This window comes from Homo sapiens, chromosome 9, assembly GCF_000001405.40.
Source record: "Homo sapiens chromosome 9, GRCh38.p14 Primary Assembly".
Classification (NCBI taxonomy): Eukaryota; Metazoa; Chordata; class Mammalia; order Primates; family Hominidae; genus Homo; species Homo sapiens.
In genome coordinates this window covers 77434558-77453820 of record NC_000009.12, presented here as the reverse complement: position 1 = coordinate 77453820, position 19263 = coordinate 77434558, and the positions used below count along the sequence as shown (strand labels likewise).

At 44.9% G+C, this 19263-nt stretch overlaps 1 protein-coding gene and 1 long non-coding RNA gene across 3 annotated transcripts in view; one reads left to right on the top strand and one right to left on the bottom strand.

Moving 5' to 3' along the window:
• Nucleotides 1-6172, bottom strand: part of GNA14-AS1 (GNA14 antisense RNA 1) — a 79114-nt gene extending 72942 nt beyond the window's left edge. Inside the window, exon 1 of the long non-coding RNA NR_121184.1 lies at nt 6140-6172. This is a non-coding gene — a long non-coding RNA (GNA14 antisense RNA 1). The remainder of the gene's footprint in view (nt 1-6139) is intronic.
• Nucleotides 1-19263, top strand: part of GNA14 (G protein subunit alpha 14) — a 225244-nt gene that overhangs the window by 194502 nt on the left and 11479 nt on the right. The window contains exon 1 of one of the 2 annotated variants that reach the window (XM_047424110.1): nt 1143-6517. The exons of the other annotated variant lie outside the window; for it this stretch is intronic. The gene's annotated coding sequence lies outside the window, so the exon portion shown is untranslated. Of the gene's footprint in view, nt 1-1142; nt 6518-19263 lie in introns of those variants that run through there. 2 annotated transcript variants of the gene reach the window in all.

The following is a 19263-nucleotide window of genomic DNA, read 5'->3' as shown; positions in this document are numbered from 1 at the left end:
AACTAGCATATCAAAAGCTCTGTGCTGTGTTCGGGCCTCCCCACTCCATGTTGCTGTATTTGTTGTGGTGGCTGCAGGCTTATGATTGCTCAGGTTTGCTCAGTTCCATAAATTCTCACTAAATGCTGCATTTGTTGAAGGAATCCTGTTGTAGCTTCAGGGCTGTTCTTGCTGTTGTTTTTAAGCCATACACATGTGGATTATCTTTCTAAGTGACTGAATGGTTAAGAGTTTGGTGCGCATAGTTACACATTTTCATGAACTGTTGCATTTTGTTAATGCATATTGCTCCTTGACTTCATTGTATTTTGTCAGTATTTATTGAATGTAAAGATTTTCAGGTAAGATTCATTTATTCATTCAAAGAATATTGATGTGCGAACCACCATTCTAGGCACGTGGGAGTACATTAATGAAGAAAAGAGACTAATATCTGTCTTAGTCTATTCAGGCTGCTATAACAGAATACCTTAGGCTGGGTAATTTATAAAGAGTAGCGTTTACTGCTCACAGTTCTGGGGATTGGGAAGTCTGCAGAAGTCTAAGATGAAGGCACTAGCAGATGTGCTGTCTGGTGAGAGTCTGCTCCTCAGAGATGGCATCTTCTTGGTGTCTTCGCATGGCGGAAGGGACACACAAGCTCCCTCAGGCCTCTTTTTATTTTTATTTTTTATTTTTTCAGGAACAGGGTCTTGCTCTGTCACCCAGGCTAGAGTGCAGTGGTGCAATCATGGCTCACTGTAACCTCGAACTCTTGGGCTGACGCCATCCTCCTGCCTCAGCCTCTCAAGTAGCTGGGACTGCAGGTACACACACCACCCGGCTGGTTACTTGTTTGTTTATTTGTTTTTAGGGATGAGGGAATGTCGCTATGTTGTCCAGGCTGGTCTTGAACTCCTGGCGTCAAGCAGTCCTCCTGCCTCAGCCTCCTGTGTCCTTGGGCTTACAGGCATGAACCAATGTGCCCAGCTCAGACCTCTTTTAAAAGGGCACAAAGTCATTCATGAGGACTCCACCTTCATGACCTAGTCCCCACTCAGAAGCCCCACTCCTTAATACCTCCACGTTGGGGATGAGAGTTCAACGTATGGATTTTGGAGAGACACAAACTTTCAGACCACAGCAGATCCCTGCCCTAAGGGGTACATGTACCACACAGACACACACACAAACACAAACACACACACCGCACACATATACATACACACACATACACATACACACCACACACACACATACACATGCACATACACACACACACACACACACACTTGTGTGCAGTTCTGCAGTTAACTAGAAAACTTGGGTAACTTTTTCAGACTTTGTCCTAAACTAATTTGATCAAGGAACTTTTTTTTAAGGATATGTACCACGTTTTGTAGAGTAGTGTTTTGTTTAATGTACCACTCTGGAAAATGCTTATAAAGGCATCGCTGGACTGAATGTACTTCAGGAAAATCATCCATAGATACCATTTGTTTCAAAATTTGGTAAGAGTTAGGCGGCAGAGAGACTAAATTCTCCACCAAGATCTGGAGTGCAGATATTCTTTGTTGCTACTTAAAGGCAAATCTGTCTGCCTCACACGTCACATGAGTAGGGGTGACTTTGGTGAATCCTAAGGCTGTACTGGAGCTTGTCACTTGGCTACACGTCTATCTCAGACCTGCTGACAGGACCAGTGTATTTCTACGGGGTTCTGGATCAAGCAGTCCAGCCTCTTACTGGATCGTGTCTCTCAAGTCAGCCTCTGTGGAGTTATATCCGCTTCCCCTGGGATGCGGTGTGAGACCAGCACATAGTGAGCATGGACATCACTAGATTGAGTGAAATGTTCCTGGGCTGTGGGGACTTCACGAGACCACATCTAATTTTTGCACAAATATCTGTCACTCACCACCTACCTGTGCTCGTCTGGTTGCTCGGTTGGGATTTTTTGACAGGAAATAGGAGACTTGGTTAAATGTCTGTGTAACTTTGAGATGCTTGAGGAGAGAGACACTTTGCACTGACCCCAACAGGTTTCCTTATGCACCTGATTACAACAAAGAATCTCGGGTTCTTGCTTGGGAGAGTGGCTGAGCAGCTTTGCTGCACGTTGGCTTGTCCACCCAAGCTGGAAAAACCTGTGGTCCAGAGTCCCAGGGTGACTAATGAACATGTGTGTGACAAGGGAGAAAAAAGTTTGGGGCAATATTATCTTTTGGGGATAACTGCCTTTGAGGCTGTCTTCCTGGTTATTTTGAGGATGTGTGATTCACAGAAGAGAGACGGACCTACACATTGGTCATCCTCAAGATTTTCAGGGCCATCCTAGAATAGCCTCACCCTGGATCCCAGGAACAGACCTCTTTATCAATAGTGGCATTCCTTTACATCCTCAGCTAAGTATAGTTACAATGATTGCTTTAGAGCACTCTAAAAAGAGTGACTACAGTGGCTGTGTTTGCCTTTATACTTTGAAAAAAGAATGTCCACAACAACAAATATTTATGAAGCTTTATAATTAAAAAATACGTTCTTTAGCTAGAGACTGCTAATGTTGAAAAGACCACCCCCACCTCCCCTCCTCATTTTACCAATGAGGAAACTGAGGGCTTAGGGTCAGATAAATTCATCGAAAGCTCCCTACTAGGGGATGAGCTGAGATTATATCTTGAGTCCTCTTGAAGGAAGCTAGTCTGACACACGTATGTTCCCCATAGGGCCGTCACATTCTTATGGTCACACTATACTCAGATGCCGTATTAGTCTGTTCTCATGCTGCTATAAGGACAAACCCAAGACTGGGTAATTTATAGAGGAGAGAGGTTTAATGGACTCACAGTTCCATGTGGCTGGGGAGGCCTCACAATCATGGTGGAAGGGGAAGAAGGAGCAAAGGCATGTCTTACATGGCAGCAGGCAAGACAGTGTGTGCAGGGGAAATGCCCTTTATAAAACCGTCAGATCTTGTGAGCCTTATTCACTATCAAGAGAACAGCACGGGAAAAACCCACCCCCATGATTCAATTACTTCCCATCAGTTCCCTCCCACGACACATGGGGATTAAGGGAGCTACAGTTCAAGATGTGATTAGGGTGAGGACACAGCCAAACCATATCAAGTGCTATCTTAGCAAAATCGCCACCAAAAAAAGGATGAAAATTACACGGGCCACTAGATAGACCATAGGAAGAATAATTTTAACAGCACCAGAGCTTGTTCGATCTCAGATGGAAACATTTGCATCAGGTGACTTAGATTTTTTTTGCTGCTCTGTACACGTTGGAGAATGACTGTGAAAGTGCCGTCAGTTTGATTTGGAGGTGACAAGTAGCTTTTAGCAAGTAGGTGAATTCACAAATATGGAATCATGAATGATGAGAATCGGCAAGATTTCTTCATTCCTTTGATGCGGCATGTAAGCCCCCAGGCACTTAAGAAGGTCAGAGGGAGATGGATGAAGATGAGGATTACGGTCTCTGCCCTTTATTAAGAGCCTCCTGTGCATGGGTAAGGCTGAGCACTTGATGTTTTGCTGGGGCTGACCACAAGCCCCAGGGAACAGAAGTGTGTAGTCACAGGCAGAGCCAGCCCCCTCATCTTGCTTTGGTGTATCCCATTTTGTAAATCAAGAGTCAAGACCATGACCATGAAGAATTCAGAGTGGAGACAGAAAAGGGCAATTTATTTAGTCCCACCAGCCGGCAACCAGAATGCCAAAGCTCCAGAATCCTGCAGCCCTGGGACAAATGCCCTGAGGATGCATAAGCCCACGGAATCCCAGAATTCCAAATGTCCTTCGGCCCAGGTCCAGCTTCCAGTCTGTCCGGTACCATGAACTACCGCCAATTCCTCATGTTCTCTTTGTTTCTAAGGTTCTTGTCTGAGCAGGGAGGCGGTAGGGGTCTGAGTCACTGTGAGGCACACACAGGGAATGTCTAGAAGGAGGCCTGGGCCTAAGGAGGGGTTCTCAAGAGGGAGATTATGCTCTGGCGTTTTGCCATCAAAGAACTTTATTTCCTAATGTTTATTCTTCAGCTCAGCCTCGGCTATACCTGCCTAGCTGGTGTTAAACTAATGAATCTAACATTCCCTTCCCTTTGCATTGGGGTTTGAGTATGAAACCTGTTTGACAGGGAATTGGGGGAGAATTTGTTTGGATTTGCCTTGACGAGGCCTTTTTCAAAGATTGGGGAGGCCACTGGTTTCTCTTAAAAGTCAGCAGCGCCCCAGGGAGAATGTAGGGACTGTCCTTCCACAGTTGTCTTGGATTTCAGGCTCTCTAGAAACGTCTGGCCACTGGTTGATTGACATGGCATAGACTTTGTAAAAACAAACAATACGATATTGAACCTCAGGGGAACTAGCACTTGATAACATGGCTTGCTTAAGGAAGTTATAAAGAAGAAAAAAGAAATGGGGAAAATTCTGTTAATGGGAATCAGAACAATTCTAAGATTTTCCACTGGGTGGCATTTTATTTAATGTTACTACATACAGTCACGCATCACTTAACAAAGGGATACCCTCTGAGAAATGTAAAGTTAGGTGATTTCATCATTGTGTGAACATCATGGAGTGCACTTACACAAACCTATATGGTTTAGCCTACTACACACCTGGGCTACCAGGTCTAGGTACCTGGGTTACCTATTGCTCCTAAGGTACAAACCTGTGCCACATGTTGCTGTACTGAACACTGTAGGCAGTTGTAACACAATGGTATTTTTGTATCTAACTGTATCTTAACATAGAAAAGATACAGTAAAAATGCTGCATTATAATCTTACATCCTATCATACCATTATCGTATATGCAGCCTGCTGTTGGCTGAAATGTCATTATGCAGTGGATGGCTATACATGCTTCCAGTTGGGGCAGGTCCACAATCTAAATTATTTCTGGGAATTGCCGTTTAAGACTTCTGAAGAGTGGGGAAATTTGCTTAGGTGGGATTCTCTTGCTTTTTACACTAATTAAATACATTTTTAAAAAGTTCCTTTTCCACACTCTGCACACTTCTTACCATCATTCTTAAAAAGACTAGAAGTTTGAGCATAAAGACAATATTTTTTTCATAGTTGCATACGTCTACCTCGAATAATGCCTGGCAAAGAGTTTATGGGTGCTGCATACACGCATGCCTGATGAATGAATGAATTAGGAATTACGGCTGCAGCAGTACGCTACTTGTATGCATTTAATTCGAATTATCAGACTATATAGATGCTCCTAGACTTATGATGGGATCATGTCCTGATAAACCCATCATAAATTAAATGGAAAATATCAAAAGTCAAAAATGCATCTAATTTACCTAAACTGCCAAACAGAATAGCTTAGCCTGGCCTGCTAAATGCGCTCAGAACACATTAGCCTACAGCTGGGCAAAATCATCTAACACAAAACCTGTTTTATAATAAAGAATTGAATATCTCATGTAATTTATCGAACACCGACCTGAAAATGAAAACCAGAATGATTCGATACTCAAAATATGGTTTCTACTGAATGGTTACTGCTTTCACACCATCGTAAGTCAGAAAATCGTTCAGTCAAACCATCATGAGTTGGGGACTGTTTGTAGCAGGGTCAGCAAACATTTTCTGTAAATGGCTAGATAGTACGTGATTTAGCCTTGGTGGACCATACTGGTTTTGTCTCAACAGCTTGATGCTGCTGTTGCAGGTTTGAAAGCAGGCAGATCATATCACAAGGCATAGCTGTCTTCCCATAGAACTTTATTAGCAAAAACAGGCAGTCTGCTGGATGTGGCCCATCAGCTGCAGTTTACCCTGATCTACATGAAAGCATACACTGGCATCATACAAATGTTAGAAACCAATGTAGTAAAAGATAAAGAGATTTCAAGACTCTGTGAGTGGTAGACAGCATGCTCTCCATTCACCAAATCCCATTCCACCTTCCACCTGAACACATGGGAAAACCACATTTCCCAGCCTCCCTTGCACTTAGCGGGAGCCTTGTGACTAAATCTGGCCAATGAGCTGTGTCCAGAGGCAAAGTCCACCATGTCCAGACCTGGCCCATAAGACTTCCTGAACACTGCTCCATGCTCTCTTCCCTCCCCTGCAGACTGGGTGCAAATAATCTAGTGAAGGACTCCAGGGCCCTTCAAGTTGGTGTACTCACTTGCTGGAGTGAGCCTGGATCCCTGAATAACTCTGTGGAGGAGAGTCCTCCCCACCCCTACTATGACCTCATAATGGACTGTGAAGGGTTGTAAAATACACCTGTGCTGTTAAGGCACTGAAATTCAGGGGTCATTAGCCTGTCCTCTCTAATAATACCATGTCTGGGCTCAGATCTGGATAAAGGAAAGAAACTGAAAAAGAAATAGAATTCTCTCCAGGGCTAACAGCCTCCTGTCTGGTGTACCTGCACTTTTTGATTGGGGAAGAGAGGAACGAGGAGGTCTTAGTGCTCGCAGTCTTAGAAAGTTTATGTATAAGAAGCAGTACTGTAGTTTGGGTCTGAGAAACGGGACCTTGAAGAGAGAGTCACTGTGAGGTAGGGTGGCAGAAAGGGATATATAACAGATAAGTAGCTTTTACAGAAATTGTACATTGAGGCTGGGCATGGTGGCTCACGCCTGTAATCCCAGCACTTTGAGAGGACGAGGTCAGCGATCATTTGAGGTCAGGAGTTGGAGACCAGCCTGGCTAACATGGTGAAACCCCATCTCTACTCGGCGTGGTGGTGTGTGCCTGTAATCCCAGCTACTCGGGAGGCTGAGGCAGGAGAATTGCTTGAACCCGGGAGGCAGAGGTTGCAGTGAGCCGAGATTGTGCCATTGCACTCCAGCCTGGGCAACAGAATGAAACTCCGTCTCAAAAAAAAAAAAAAATTGTACATGAACTGCACCAAAACTTGTAGCCAGGATTTATACTTGGTGTGATAGTTCATCTCTGTACTGGTTAAAATGGATTTCTTTAAGCTAGCCTAGAACCTCCCATGCTAACATCATTTATCTCTCTCTCTTTGGCTGTATAAAGTAAAATTTACTAAAGTTAAAACAGTCAACCAGTACCACAACCTCAGTGGCTTAGCAAAATGAAGTTGATTTTGTAGTCACATCCGTGTCAATCCAGTATAAGTTGGTGGGGGTGTGGCACTTGGGCTCTGCTCCACAGTCATTCAAAATCCAGATCCCCATCACCTTGAGCATCTCCCCCCACCCCTTCTCCTTCACTCTCCCTCACCTGAGAAATGGGAAAAGAAAGATGGAGGGGGATTGCATGGGAGGTTTTGGAGGTCAGGCCCAGTCATGGCATGCATTGCTTCAGCCTGAATTCCCTCACTCAGAACTCAGTTACACGGGTCCACCTCACTGCCAGGAAGGCTGAGAGACACAGCATGACTCGCGAGCCCAGGAAGAAAGCAAAATAGGATGTACTGGACCCGCGGCCATCCTGGCTTAGTGGGAAAATACTTTGAGCTCCCAATAACCAAGTGTACAAGTAAGTTTCTGAAACCAACCTGTTCTTAAATTGAAGCCTTGCTGGTGTTTTGTTGAATTACTGCAAGCCTTTGGTAATGCTTCCTTGTCTGGAAGGGCCGTGAAAATAACCCAACACCAGAAAGAGAATGAGATTTCTCACAGCTGATTGTGCCACTGCAGGAAGCCCACAGGTGGGGCAAAGCATTTGTTACTTCTCTGTGGAGGGGTCTTTTGGTCTGAGAGCTCCCGTGAGCCCTGCCGCTCTGGTCACTCACGTTTTCTGCCCTCTGCCTTTCCCTGCAGAGTCCCCGCCTTTTCCCCAGCAGGGCCCTGGTCACTGGAAAATTGGGAGTAAACCCTGTCGTCCTCCCAGCAGCAGGCTCCGCAGATTCTGAAGATAGGCACAGACAAAAGAGATATTCCTCTTGCTAAGTTGGACTGTCAGTGATAAAACAATTTTTATGTGCTAAAGAACTAAGAGAACTCTGTCAACTAGAGGAGGAAGGGAAGGAACAAGACAGTGAACAAGATGGTGACAGGGACAGAAAACTCTATCTTCCCACATAACATGACCACGTTTAATGGCCCCTGGGCACGTACAATTAACTGGCCCAAACAAATATATATTTTTTAAAGATGGGGTCTCGCTGTTGCCCAGGCTGGAGTGCAGTGGTGTGATCATAGCTCACTCCAGCCTCCGACTCCTAGGTTCAAGTGATCCTTCTGCCTCAGTCGCCAAGTAGCTGAGACTACAGGCGCGTACCACCATGCCTGGCAAATATTTTTTTCTTTTCCTTTCTTTTTTTTTTTTTTTTTTTTTCTTCTTAGAGACAGGTCTCACTTTGCGGCCCAGGGTGGTCTTGGACTTCTGGCTTCAAATGATCCTTCAGCCTTGACCTCCTAACATGTTGGGATTACAGGCATGAGCCACCTTGCTGGGCCCCAAAACCCTTCTCTGAGAAGCAGCTCCACTGGCCGAATACACGCATTCCTTGTTTGGAGGGTGTTGAGGGAGTTGGGCTACCAGATGCTGTTTGGAAAATTTCACTTGACTGTGTTCTACTGAGGGTTTAGGCACTTTCCAGAGCATCTTAGGGAAAGACTTGTTATGTGAAATGCGATGTAGCAAAGGCTGGTCTGGTCCCTTTCTCGTACCCCCGCTCCATACACAGAGCAATCTTTGGCAAGCACAGGCAGGAAGCCATGTTCGTGGCAGCGAAAAGGGAAGATGTAGCCCCTTCTCCTTCCCCGCCATCAGGCCACCTCTAGTGGGAAGTACTAGTTGGCTCATCCCTTCACTCCTCCCCAGTTGAAATGTTTCCCTTCCTTTGAGCTCAGCATTCGTGTGGGGCTCTGTTGTCATTCCTACTCAAAAGGATAGCTGTAATTCTGAAATCCTCAAGGTTAGGGCCTATTTCTATTCCCAGCAGGCAGCCCTGGATCTGGCATGGAGCAGGGGCAGGACGCTGTGCACTGAGTGGTGAACGAGTCTGCCTGCTGGTGCCCAGCTGAGTGTGGGACATTTAGGGCACCCCAACTGAACCCTAAGCTACCTCCCCCTGGACCTAAGGTGATCAGGGATTTTGTCTGTACATAGGATTGAGTGGACTGTAATGGAAGCTCTTGTGTGTCAGGGAGTCTGAGGTGCACGGAGTGCTGGGGAATGATGGGCTTATGATGGGGACTGAACCGTGTTGGCTGCTGGAGCTGTGAAGAAGACACTGGAAGGCTATTGCTGCTGCATGTCTGAGGGGGCCTGAGGCTGCTACAGGTCAGCAGGCTGGCAGTTAAGGAGAAAACGGGGATGCAAAGCAGGGAAGAGCAAGGGCAGGCTGGAACCTGCAAAGACAAAGCAGAACCCACGAAAACCAAGTGGATTCTGGGGGGATGAAGTGGAACCTGCACAGGTGTCACCATCCTGACAGTGCAGGTAACTTGTGGAAGAAGCTGGCACCCTTGGCCACAGATCTGTACATGTGCCTGCCCCAGGATGTGGAGAAGCTGACCCATGATGTGGAGAAGCTGAAGGAGAAGATCCAGGCAGGAGTTAAATGTGCTGAGGGCACCTGTGAGGTTGACCAGAAGATCAGCTGGGCTGTTTTTAAGCAGAAGCAGGCCTCTGACCTTCAGACCCGGAAAGTGGATGCGTCCTTCTGCCTTGCAAGTCTCTTTCCATTTCTTCTGTGGCCAGCCCTAACCCAGAACCAAACATGGTGGGGCATTCTGGGAAACGTCAGTAGGTTCAGCTAAGCCAGCACGGTGCAAGGCCACACATACCATCTCTCAACTGCATTATTCACACTCATGTAGCTACAGGGGTTTAAGTATTTTATCATAGGAGCCTTTGGAAAGAGCCTTTTTAGTGAAACACACTGAAGTTTGTTTTTTTCAGAGACAAGGTCTTGCTCTGTTGCTCAGGCTGGAGGGCAGTAGCACAATCATAGCTTACTCTAGCCTCCAACACCTGGGTTCAAATGATCCTCCCGCCACAGCCTCCAGAGTAGCTGGGGCTACAGGCACGCATCACCATGCTCAGCTAATTTATTTTTATTATTTTATTTTTAGAGATGTGGGTCTTGTTTTTTTGCCTACGCTGGTCTCGAACTTCTGGCTTTAAGTGATCCTCTCACTTTGGCCTCCCAAATTGCTGGGATTAATTACAGTGCCCAGCCCCGACTGAAGTTTTGACTGGTAAGAAAAGATAAAGTAACGAACTTGGCCCCTCATGCCAACACTTATTGTGGCCAGTAAATTCTGTTATTTATTTTTGTTGTTGGAGAAAAGAGGAAGGGAAAGAGAAGGACGAAGATTGTAGTAGAAATAAAGATTTCTGTTGAATCTTGAATTGGGTTTAAAAAGCTTCCTTCTATTCTGAGTGTGTGGGAGATTGAAGTCTAGGTGGCTTTAGCCCAGTGTTTAATATTGAAATGTCTGCAGAGTGGGTGCAGTGAGCTTGCAGGTGCAGGAGGTGGGGAAGTGAGTCCCTGCTGAGCTTAGAGTTTCTAGAGAAGATGAAAATTGATCAAAAGAAGCTGGAAATCCATTTTTTTACGTGAAGTCTTAGTAATTAAATATTCTAGATATGCTTTTAAAAGTATTTTTATAAATATTCTAGGTGTGCTTTTAAAAAGTATATATTCTACAGTTATTTTGAATGCATCAAAATGTATCTGTAAATTCAAATTTGCTGATCATAATGTTTGAATTGTCTATATTTTTCCTGAGTTTTTTGTTTACACTATCAGTGAGAGAGGTATGTTCAAATCTCTATATGGTGAAGATTTGTCCATTTCTCCACTTCCATCTGTGAAATTTTGCTCCATAGATTTTGATCCTATGTTAATAGCTACATAAAACTTTAGAGCTGCTATATTTTTCCAAATCTTTATGTCATTTGAAATATCCCTCTCTTCTAGCTCTAGCTATGCTTTTCACCTTGAAGTCTGCTTTTGTCTTAGTAGAGAGACTCCAGTTTCCTCTGGGTTAGTGTTTGCATGGCAGATCTTTTGCCATCTTTTTATTTGTCATCTGTCTTTGCAGTTGTCCCATCTTCTTATGCTTGATTATTTTGGGTGGTGCCCTGGACACATATTTGAAAACATAATTTGAGGATGAGGAAGATGTTATCTCCCAAACTCCAAAAGGGAGTTTCCTTTTCTTCTGCCAGGTGTCTGGAGGTACTTGATATCTGAGATTGTCATGATTCCAAGCTGAGTTGCAAACCCCTCAAGGCTGCCCTATGGAATCCTAACACAGAGCCAAAGGGTGTATGAGGGCCTTTTGCTCTTGCAGAGTCTTAGACCTCAATCCTTGTCACTCTGGCCCTGTGATGTTGGAAAAAGAGCTGCTTAACCATCAACTGTCCCTTCCAGAGTCGACAGAAGCCCCAGGAGTAAAACATCCCATTGCAGGGCTCATCTGCTTGGGCACTGTCTTCCCCTATATGGTGGCTTAGCAGTTATTAACTATTGCATCATTGCATTAGCTTTCTTTCTTTTTTTGAGACATAGTCTCACTCTGTTGCCCAGGCTGGAGTGCAATTGTGTGATCTCAGCTCACTGCAACCTCCACCTCCCAGGTTCAAGTGATTCTCCTGCCTCAGCCTCCCGAGTAGCTAGGATTATAGGCATGCATCACACGCCCATCTAATTTTTTGTATTTTTAGTAGAGACGGGGTTTTGCAATGTTGGTCAGTCGGGTCTCGAACTCCTGGCCTCAAGTGATCCGTGTGCCTTAGCTTCGCAGACTTCTGGGATTATAGGCATGAGCCACTGCACCAGGCCTGCATTAGCTTTCTACTACTTTCAAGCATATTTGCAAAATATTTTGTCTGCTATTTCTAGCTGCCCTTAGTGGGAGAGTTGATTCAAGTTTCCTAGTCATCCTCCTTTACCTGAAGCAGAAGTTCCTTGTTTATTTTCTATAGGAAAAACTCCTTTCTCTGGCATAGTTAACTAGCATTTTCTTTATGATTTCATGTTTTGCTTCAAAAGCTGATGGTTATGGAATATTGAAATTTTACTTCATAATTTTTAATAGAACACATAGTGTAATTCTGGACACATTAAACACAGTATAATTCTGTAGTTGTTAAAGAGGGGTGATTTTACAGAAGTTGGAAATACTATGCTACAAAGAGTTCTCATATTTAATAATATATTTTATCTTAATCTCACTGATTTTTACAAAGCTTATAGATATCAAAGCTTATAGAGGGGTGCTTTTACAAAAGTTGGAAATACTATGCTACAAAGAGTTCTCATATTTAATAATATATTTTATCTTAATCTCACTTATTTTTACAAAGCTTGCACATCACAGTAGACACTTGAAATAGTAAGTTTTTATTATCTATAATAAGTGTATTAGTCCGTTCTCACATTGCTATAAAGACATACTGGAGACTGGGTAATTTATAAAGGAAAGAGGTTTAATTGACTCACAGGTCCACATGGCTGAGGAGGCCTCAGGAAACTTACAACCGTGGCAGAAGGGGAAGCAGGCACCTTCTTCACAGGCAGCAGCAGAAAGTGTGCGCATGTGAAGAGGGAACTGTCAAGCACTTAGGAAACCATCACATCTCATGAGAACTCACTCACTATCACGAGAACAGCATGGGAGAAACCGCCCCCATCATCCAATCACCTCCCACCAGGTCCCTCCCTTGACATGTGGGGATTACGGGAATTACAATTCAGGATGACATTTGGGTGGGGACACAGAGCCAAACCATATCAATACGTTAGCAAATATTAATTTTAACGAAAATATTAAGACAGGAGCAATTTGCTCAAGAGATCTATTGTATATCATGATGACTAAGTTAATAATAATATATAGTATATTTGAAAATTGCAGGCTGGGCGCGGTGGCTCACGCCTGTAGTCCCAGCACTTTGGGAAGCTGAGGTGGGCGGATCACTTGAGGTCAGGAGTTCAGGACCAGCCTGGCCAACATAGTGAAACCCCATCTCTACTAAAAATACAAAAATTAGCCGGGCATGGTGGTGGGCACCTGTAATCCCAGCTACTCAGGGGGACGAGGCAGGAGAATTGCTTGAACCCAGGAAGTGGAGGTTGCAGTGAACCGAGATTGCGCCACTGCACTCCAGCCTGGGGACAGAGCAAGACTGCATCTCAAAAAAAGAAAAAAGAAACAAAGGAAATTGCTAAGGGAGTAGATTTTAAGTGTTCTCACTACAAAACAATAAGCATGTGAGGTAATACAAATGTTAAACAGCTTGATTTAGCCACTCTACAATGTATACATATATCAAAACACCAAATTGTAAGCCATAAATATATACAATTTTGTCAATTAAAATATAAGTAAATAGAAATTAAAAATATAAAATTTAACCAAAATGCTTAATGATCTGACAAAGGAACAAGGACTCTAGCTTAATTGGGAAAGTCAGTCTTGAACAGAGAGCTCGGAGCCCTGCTGTCCTGGGGCATTCATAGGGCAGGAAGCACCCCCGTGGGGAGGATCTGGTGGAGACGGGGCTGCCCGCTGGGCTCTGGGTCCCAGCCAGAGGGCCTCACCACACTCGGCAGGGACTGTCACCGGCAGCCACGGATCCCTGCGTGAAACCGGCAGGGCGCCACTTCATCAGCAGCTCCTTTTACTGTTAGCCTGGGAATTTCTGAATGAAACACACATGGAGGACATCTGTTTTCCAGGTTTCCCTGTCAGAGCAGTGAATATGGTGATTTTGTTTGAGAAAGGAAAAAGAGAAAGCCAGATATGAGCTCACTTTTGAGAGCCTGGTCATGTTTCTGTATCACTGAGTTTGCTCCTATAATATTTACTCCTTTGAGAGTGATATTTTTTTCAATTAAATGAATGTGTTAGGCAATTTCAACTCATGATGTTTCTCTAGCCTAGGACTCTCCGTGAACCACAGACAGACCCATTTTATCCATCTGCCTTTTAGACATCTCCACTTAGATGCTGGCCACCTCAGACTCAGCACATGCCCCACCCAAGTCACATCTCCCCTAACCCTTGTCCTCTTCCGACTCTTTGTCCTCTCTTTCCCTGAGATGAAGCAAGCCTTAAATGCTTTCCCCACAGCGCATGAGGGTCCCTTGTGCTCAGAGTGCAGGTGCCATAGAGGTTGTTTGAACAGGCCCATCAAAGTACCCAGACACCTGTGGATGAGCTGCTTGCCAAACCAGAGAGAACTATGCACAAAACTCCACTCTTTTGGGTCATCATCATTATTATTATTTTTGAAACAGTATCTCACTCTTTCACTCAGGCCGAAGTGCGGTGGCACGATCTTGGCTCGCTGCAGCCTTGACCTCCCAGGCTCAAGCAATCCTCCCACCTCAGCCTCCTGAGTAGCTGGAACTACAGGCACAACTACCATGCCCAGATAATTTTTGTATTTTTTGTAGAGATGGGGTCTCACCATGTTGCCCAGCTGGACTTGAATTCCTAGGCTCAAGCGATCCTCCCACCTTGGCCTCCCAAAGTGGTGGGAAAACAGGCGTGAGCCACTGCACCCAGCCAACTCCACTCTTGTAATACACAGACATTGTTAAGGATCTACAGAAAGTCATTCATTTCATATTCCATAGTCCAATTAAAAACTGTATTTAAATAAAGGTAACAGGGTACTCCCTTCCTCATTCCTCCCTGTCCTTCCTAATACTTGTCCCTGGAACGTTCTCTGGGGCCTCAGCTGCCACTCTCTCCACCAGCCATCCTCATAATGTCTTGACTAAAGAACAGACCCTTGCTGGGCCATTCTCATTCAGAGGGACAAAAATGACTTCTCTGACCAAGAACTTTTCCAGATAAATGGAGACTAAAGGAATATAATCACTATATGCAACAGGTGATCCTACATTGGGCTCCAGACCAGATAAAGGACATTCCTGGAACAACTGGCAAACTTTGGATGAGGCCTGAAGATGAGTAATTTTTAATAATGAATAATAATGTTGTGTCCACGCCTATTTCCTGATGCTGATCATTATACTGTGATTATGCACGATGATGTCCTTGTTTTTAGGAAGTCACACTAAGTCTCTAGAGATAAGGTGGCATCGTGCCTGCAACTTACTCAAACATTTCAAGAAAAATGTAACTGTGTGTGTTGGCCCACATGGGTTTGAAGTGTGTGTGTGTTTGCACACACATGGAGGGAGAAAGGATGAATGATAAATCAAAGTAGTTAATTGTTCACATTTGACCAATCTTGAAAGGCATAGAAGAAGTCTTTGTACCATTTTCCCCACATCTTTGCAAGTCTTATATTATTTCACAGTAAAAGGTTTTTTTTAAAAAAAAAAATCGGCTAGGCGTGGTGGCTTATGCCTGTAATCCCAGCACTTTGGGAGGCTGAGGTGGGTGGATCACTTGAAGTCAGGAGTTCAAGATCAGCCTGTCCAACATGTTGAAACCCCGTCTGTACTAAAAACACAAAAATTAGCCAGGGGTGGTGGCGGGTGCCTGTAATCCCAGCTACTCGGGAGGCTGAGGCAGGAGAATTGCTTGAACCCGGTGGGGCGGAGATTGCATTGAGCTGAGATCGCGCCGTTGTGCTCCAGCGTGGGAGACAGAGTGAAACTATGTCTTTAAAAAAAAAAAAATCTTAACAGGTAGGAAAACTAACCAGGTAGTGACCTCCGAACTTGAAGTACTTCTGGTCCTCTCAGGTGCAGTCTGCTCCGAATTCAAGTTCTACTGTTGGGTTTCCAAAGAGGCTGAGCTCTCTGCTTCTTTCAAGCCAGATTCTCCAAATTCCCCTCACCCGGCTAAACAGACAATATGTCTTCCTCTCCTGGTGAGGTCTCCCGGTGACCTGAGAGGTCATATCTATATCTACTCCCCATTTTTCATGTAGAAGCTTGCTTTCCTCTTTGATATCTCACTAGGTTCCACTTTTTCTCTCTACTAAAAGAGCCAAAGGCTGGGTTTATCCATGGCAACGTGTATCAGTCAGGATCTGTGCAGTAGGTCATGCCGCACTAACAACTGCCCCTGAAGTTCAGCTTACTTAACTTTGTGGATGATAACTTTTGAGTTGATTGCTCACTCGTGCCACATATCCAGCATGGCAAGTGAGGGCATATCTGTGTTCATTGTAGTCACTTAGGAGCTCTGGGTGATGGAGGCGCCATCTTGTCTCATGCTTCCAAAATCACCACAGCAGATGAAAATGAGTGTGGTGCATTACTCACTGACTCTTTATAAGTTTCTTTCTTTCTTTCCTTCCTTCCTTTTTTCTTTCTTTCTTTTTCCCTTCCTTTCCTTTGCTTTGCTTCCCTTCCCTTCCCTTCCTCTCTCTCTCTCTCTCTTTCTCTCTCTCTTTCTCTTTCTTATACAGGGTCTCATTCTGTTGCCCATGCTGGTGTGCAGTAGCTGTGTCTCACTGCAACCTCTGCCTCCTGGGTTCAAGCAATACTCCTGCCTCAGCCTCCCGAGTAGCTGGGATGACAGGCATGCACCACCAAACCCAGCTAATTTTTAATGTTTTTGGTAGAGACAGGGTTTCACCATGTTGGACATGCTGGTCTTAAACTCCTGGCCTCAGTTGATCCGCCTCCCTCGGCCTCCCAAAGTGCTGGGATTACAGGCGTGAGCCACTGCACTTGGCCGTAATGTTTATTTTCAAAAGAGACAAGTGATTTCCGCTCACATTTCATTCACCCTGAAGTTCATTCCTACATTTTGTTTGTGAGAAGGAGAGATAGAAATGCATTTGTTACAGCCCTGATGATTGTCGCAGCACTAAAGCTCAGCCGTTAACCTGATTTTGACAGTGAAACTTAGCATAGCAGCAAAAGAGGCATGCCCACAAGAAGCAAGGATGCTGAGGGCCACCAGGGCCCAAGTTGGAATTACAGATTGGCCAAGCGTTGCCTGAGCATCTCCTCCTCTGAGAGGAGGCCCTGACCTGCTCCGTGTGTGCTCCCACTGTGACCTGCACGGGCTTCCGTCTTCCCACCCTAGTATGCTTTCACTCTTATTTTGTCATAATTTTCTGTCTTGTTAGGTAGGTGGATTTTACATGCACCACAGATGTTTACTGAATGCGCCTATCCATAGAAGACACCTATTATTTGCAATAGAAGGCACTGCACTAGGTTCTGGGATATAAGAACAAATAAGACATTGGTTCTGCCCTCATGACATTTCCTGGCCTGCCATGAAGACAGAGAGGAAAACAGACATTTTACATTGAGAGAGTAGAGCTCAGCACAACTGACCTATTTGGGAAAGCAAGAGCGTGGCGAGAGGAGGGGAGGACATGGGAGAGAGCTGTTCTGCACCACACTGGATAAACACTGTCCAGGTTCTCCATCCATCATTCTCGCCAGCCAAGAATAGGGTCCGTGACATGCAGCATGCCAGTGGTGGGATTAGAAGTCAGGGTTTAGAGGCTACTGATGTGTCCTGTTTTTGCAAACAAGAAATACTTATTAGACATCTGCTACAATAGTAAAGGCTAATTCTACTTACATATAAGTAACACTTTATAATTCAGGTACCCCTGGAAATCATGGCTCGTTTTACAAATGAGGACACTGAGGCAGGTAACTTGTTGGGGTCCTTAAAAGTCCCAACTACACTGTTTAGAACTCAGGGTCCTGATTCCCAGGCCAGCGCACTTTCCAGTAATCCATCCTGCCTGGACCTTGTTTGAGATCCTACCTGCCTGAAGGTCCTACAGTCTCCAGGAAGAGTTTACATTCACTTTCCTGACAGGTGTGGGGAAAAGTCACATCGATTCATTCACAGTCCTTGGTTAGGATGAGCCAGGTGGATGTGTAAGATCCTCCTTTTCTCTGGCTTGCTGTTGGATAATTATAAGGATGAACAACGCACAATAAAAGTGACTTTTCAGGAGGTACCGTCTACACTTGAGATCCCAGCTACCAAGCAGATGGTTTGCTGACTCACAGCTGCTGCTGTAGCCAGCCCTGCTTGGTGATGTAACTGCTGTGGGATGCAGAAATATGGGAGGGGGAATAAGAGCCTGGGGTCCTGCTTCTCTTGCCAGGATTCACTTGTCTGCTACAACTTGCAGCCAAGGAAAGGATGCTGAGTCTCTGGGGCCAACACGGGGAAATGTTGTGGCTGCAGGCCAACCTTATCTTTTCCATTTTCTGAGGTTTGGAAAGATTTCTGGCTCATGCTAGCCTCCCATTGATTAAATGAGATAATGTATGTAGAGGCCTTGGCACATAGTACATAGCCAATAAATGGTAACCGCTGTAATAGTAATAATTACAGTAATAATGGCCTTAATTACTGTAGTAATAGAGCAATAATTATTTAATAATCATAGTAATAATAAATATGGTAATATAATAATCAGTGGTGTGGGGAGAGTAGTGCATTGGGAGGGAGGCTCCCAGTGGGAAAGAGTTGTATCAGTGATGCAAGAAAATGAAAAGCAGACTGTGTGAGAATGCGCTGTACTTGCCCTACAATTTTGCTGGCAAGCTAAAACTGCTCTAAAAAGTAAAGTCAATTATTATTAATATATTTTTTTTTTTGGAGACAGAGTCTCGCTCTGTCACCCAGGCTGGAGTGCCTTGGCACCATCTCGGCTCACTGCAACCTCCACCTTCTGGGTTCAAGCGATTCTCCTGCCTCAGCCTCCTGAGTAGCTGGGATTACAGGCACGCGCCGCCATGCCCAGCTAATTTTTGTGTTTTTAGTAGAGATGGGGTTTCACCATGTTGGCCAGGCTGGTCTTGAACTTTTGACCTTGTGATCGGCCCGCCTCGGCCTCCCAAAGTGCTGGGATTACAGGCATGAACCACCGCAGCTGGCCAGTGTTTTTTTTTTTTTTTTTTTTTTAAATGAAAGAACAAAATCCCAGACTGATGATAAGTTGTTATTGTGTTTCACTTCTCTAAAGACAAGGCGCCTCCTTATTGCCTGTACCAGGTGGACCAGTTTCTACCACCCAAACCTTGGTGTGCCATTTTTAAATGGCCTCATTGGCTATGCAGATACTCAAATGAGTCATATGTTAATGAAGAAGTAAAGTTTGCTGGTAGGATGAAAGCTCCAGTGACTCTTTATTCACCACTGGGTGTTGTTGAATGCTGGCGAAACTGGCCCAGGACATGGCTGGGCACAGAAGCTGCAGGTCTTGGGCTGCTGGTGGCTCTCTCCACGGAGCTAAGCAGCCACCTCATCTCCACTCAGCATGGCTGCAGTGGGTGTCTTGGCTGTGAGCGGCCCCTGGGAGGGTGCCCACCACGCCCCATGCCTAGTGAGAGCTCTCCAAATCCACAGACCAGGGCAAGACTTGTACCGACATTGCCAATGGGTTGGCTTCCTTTCC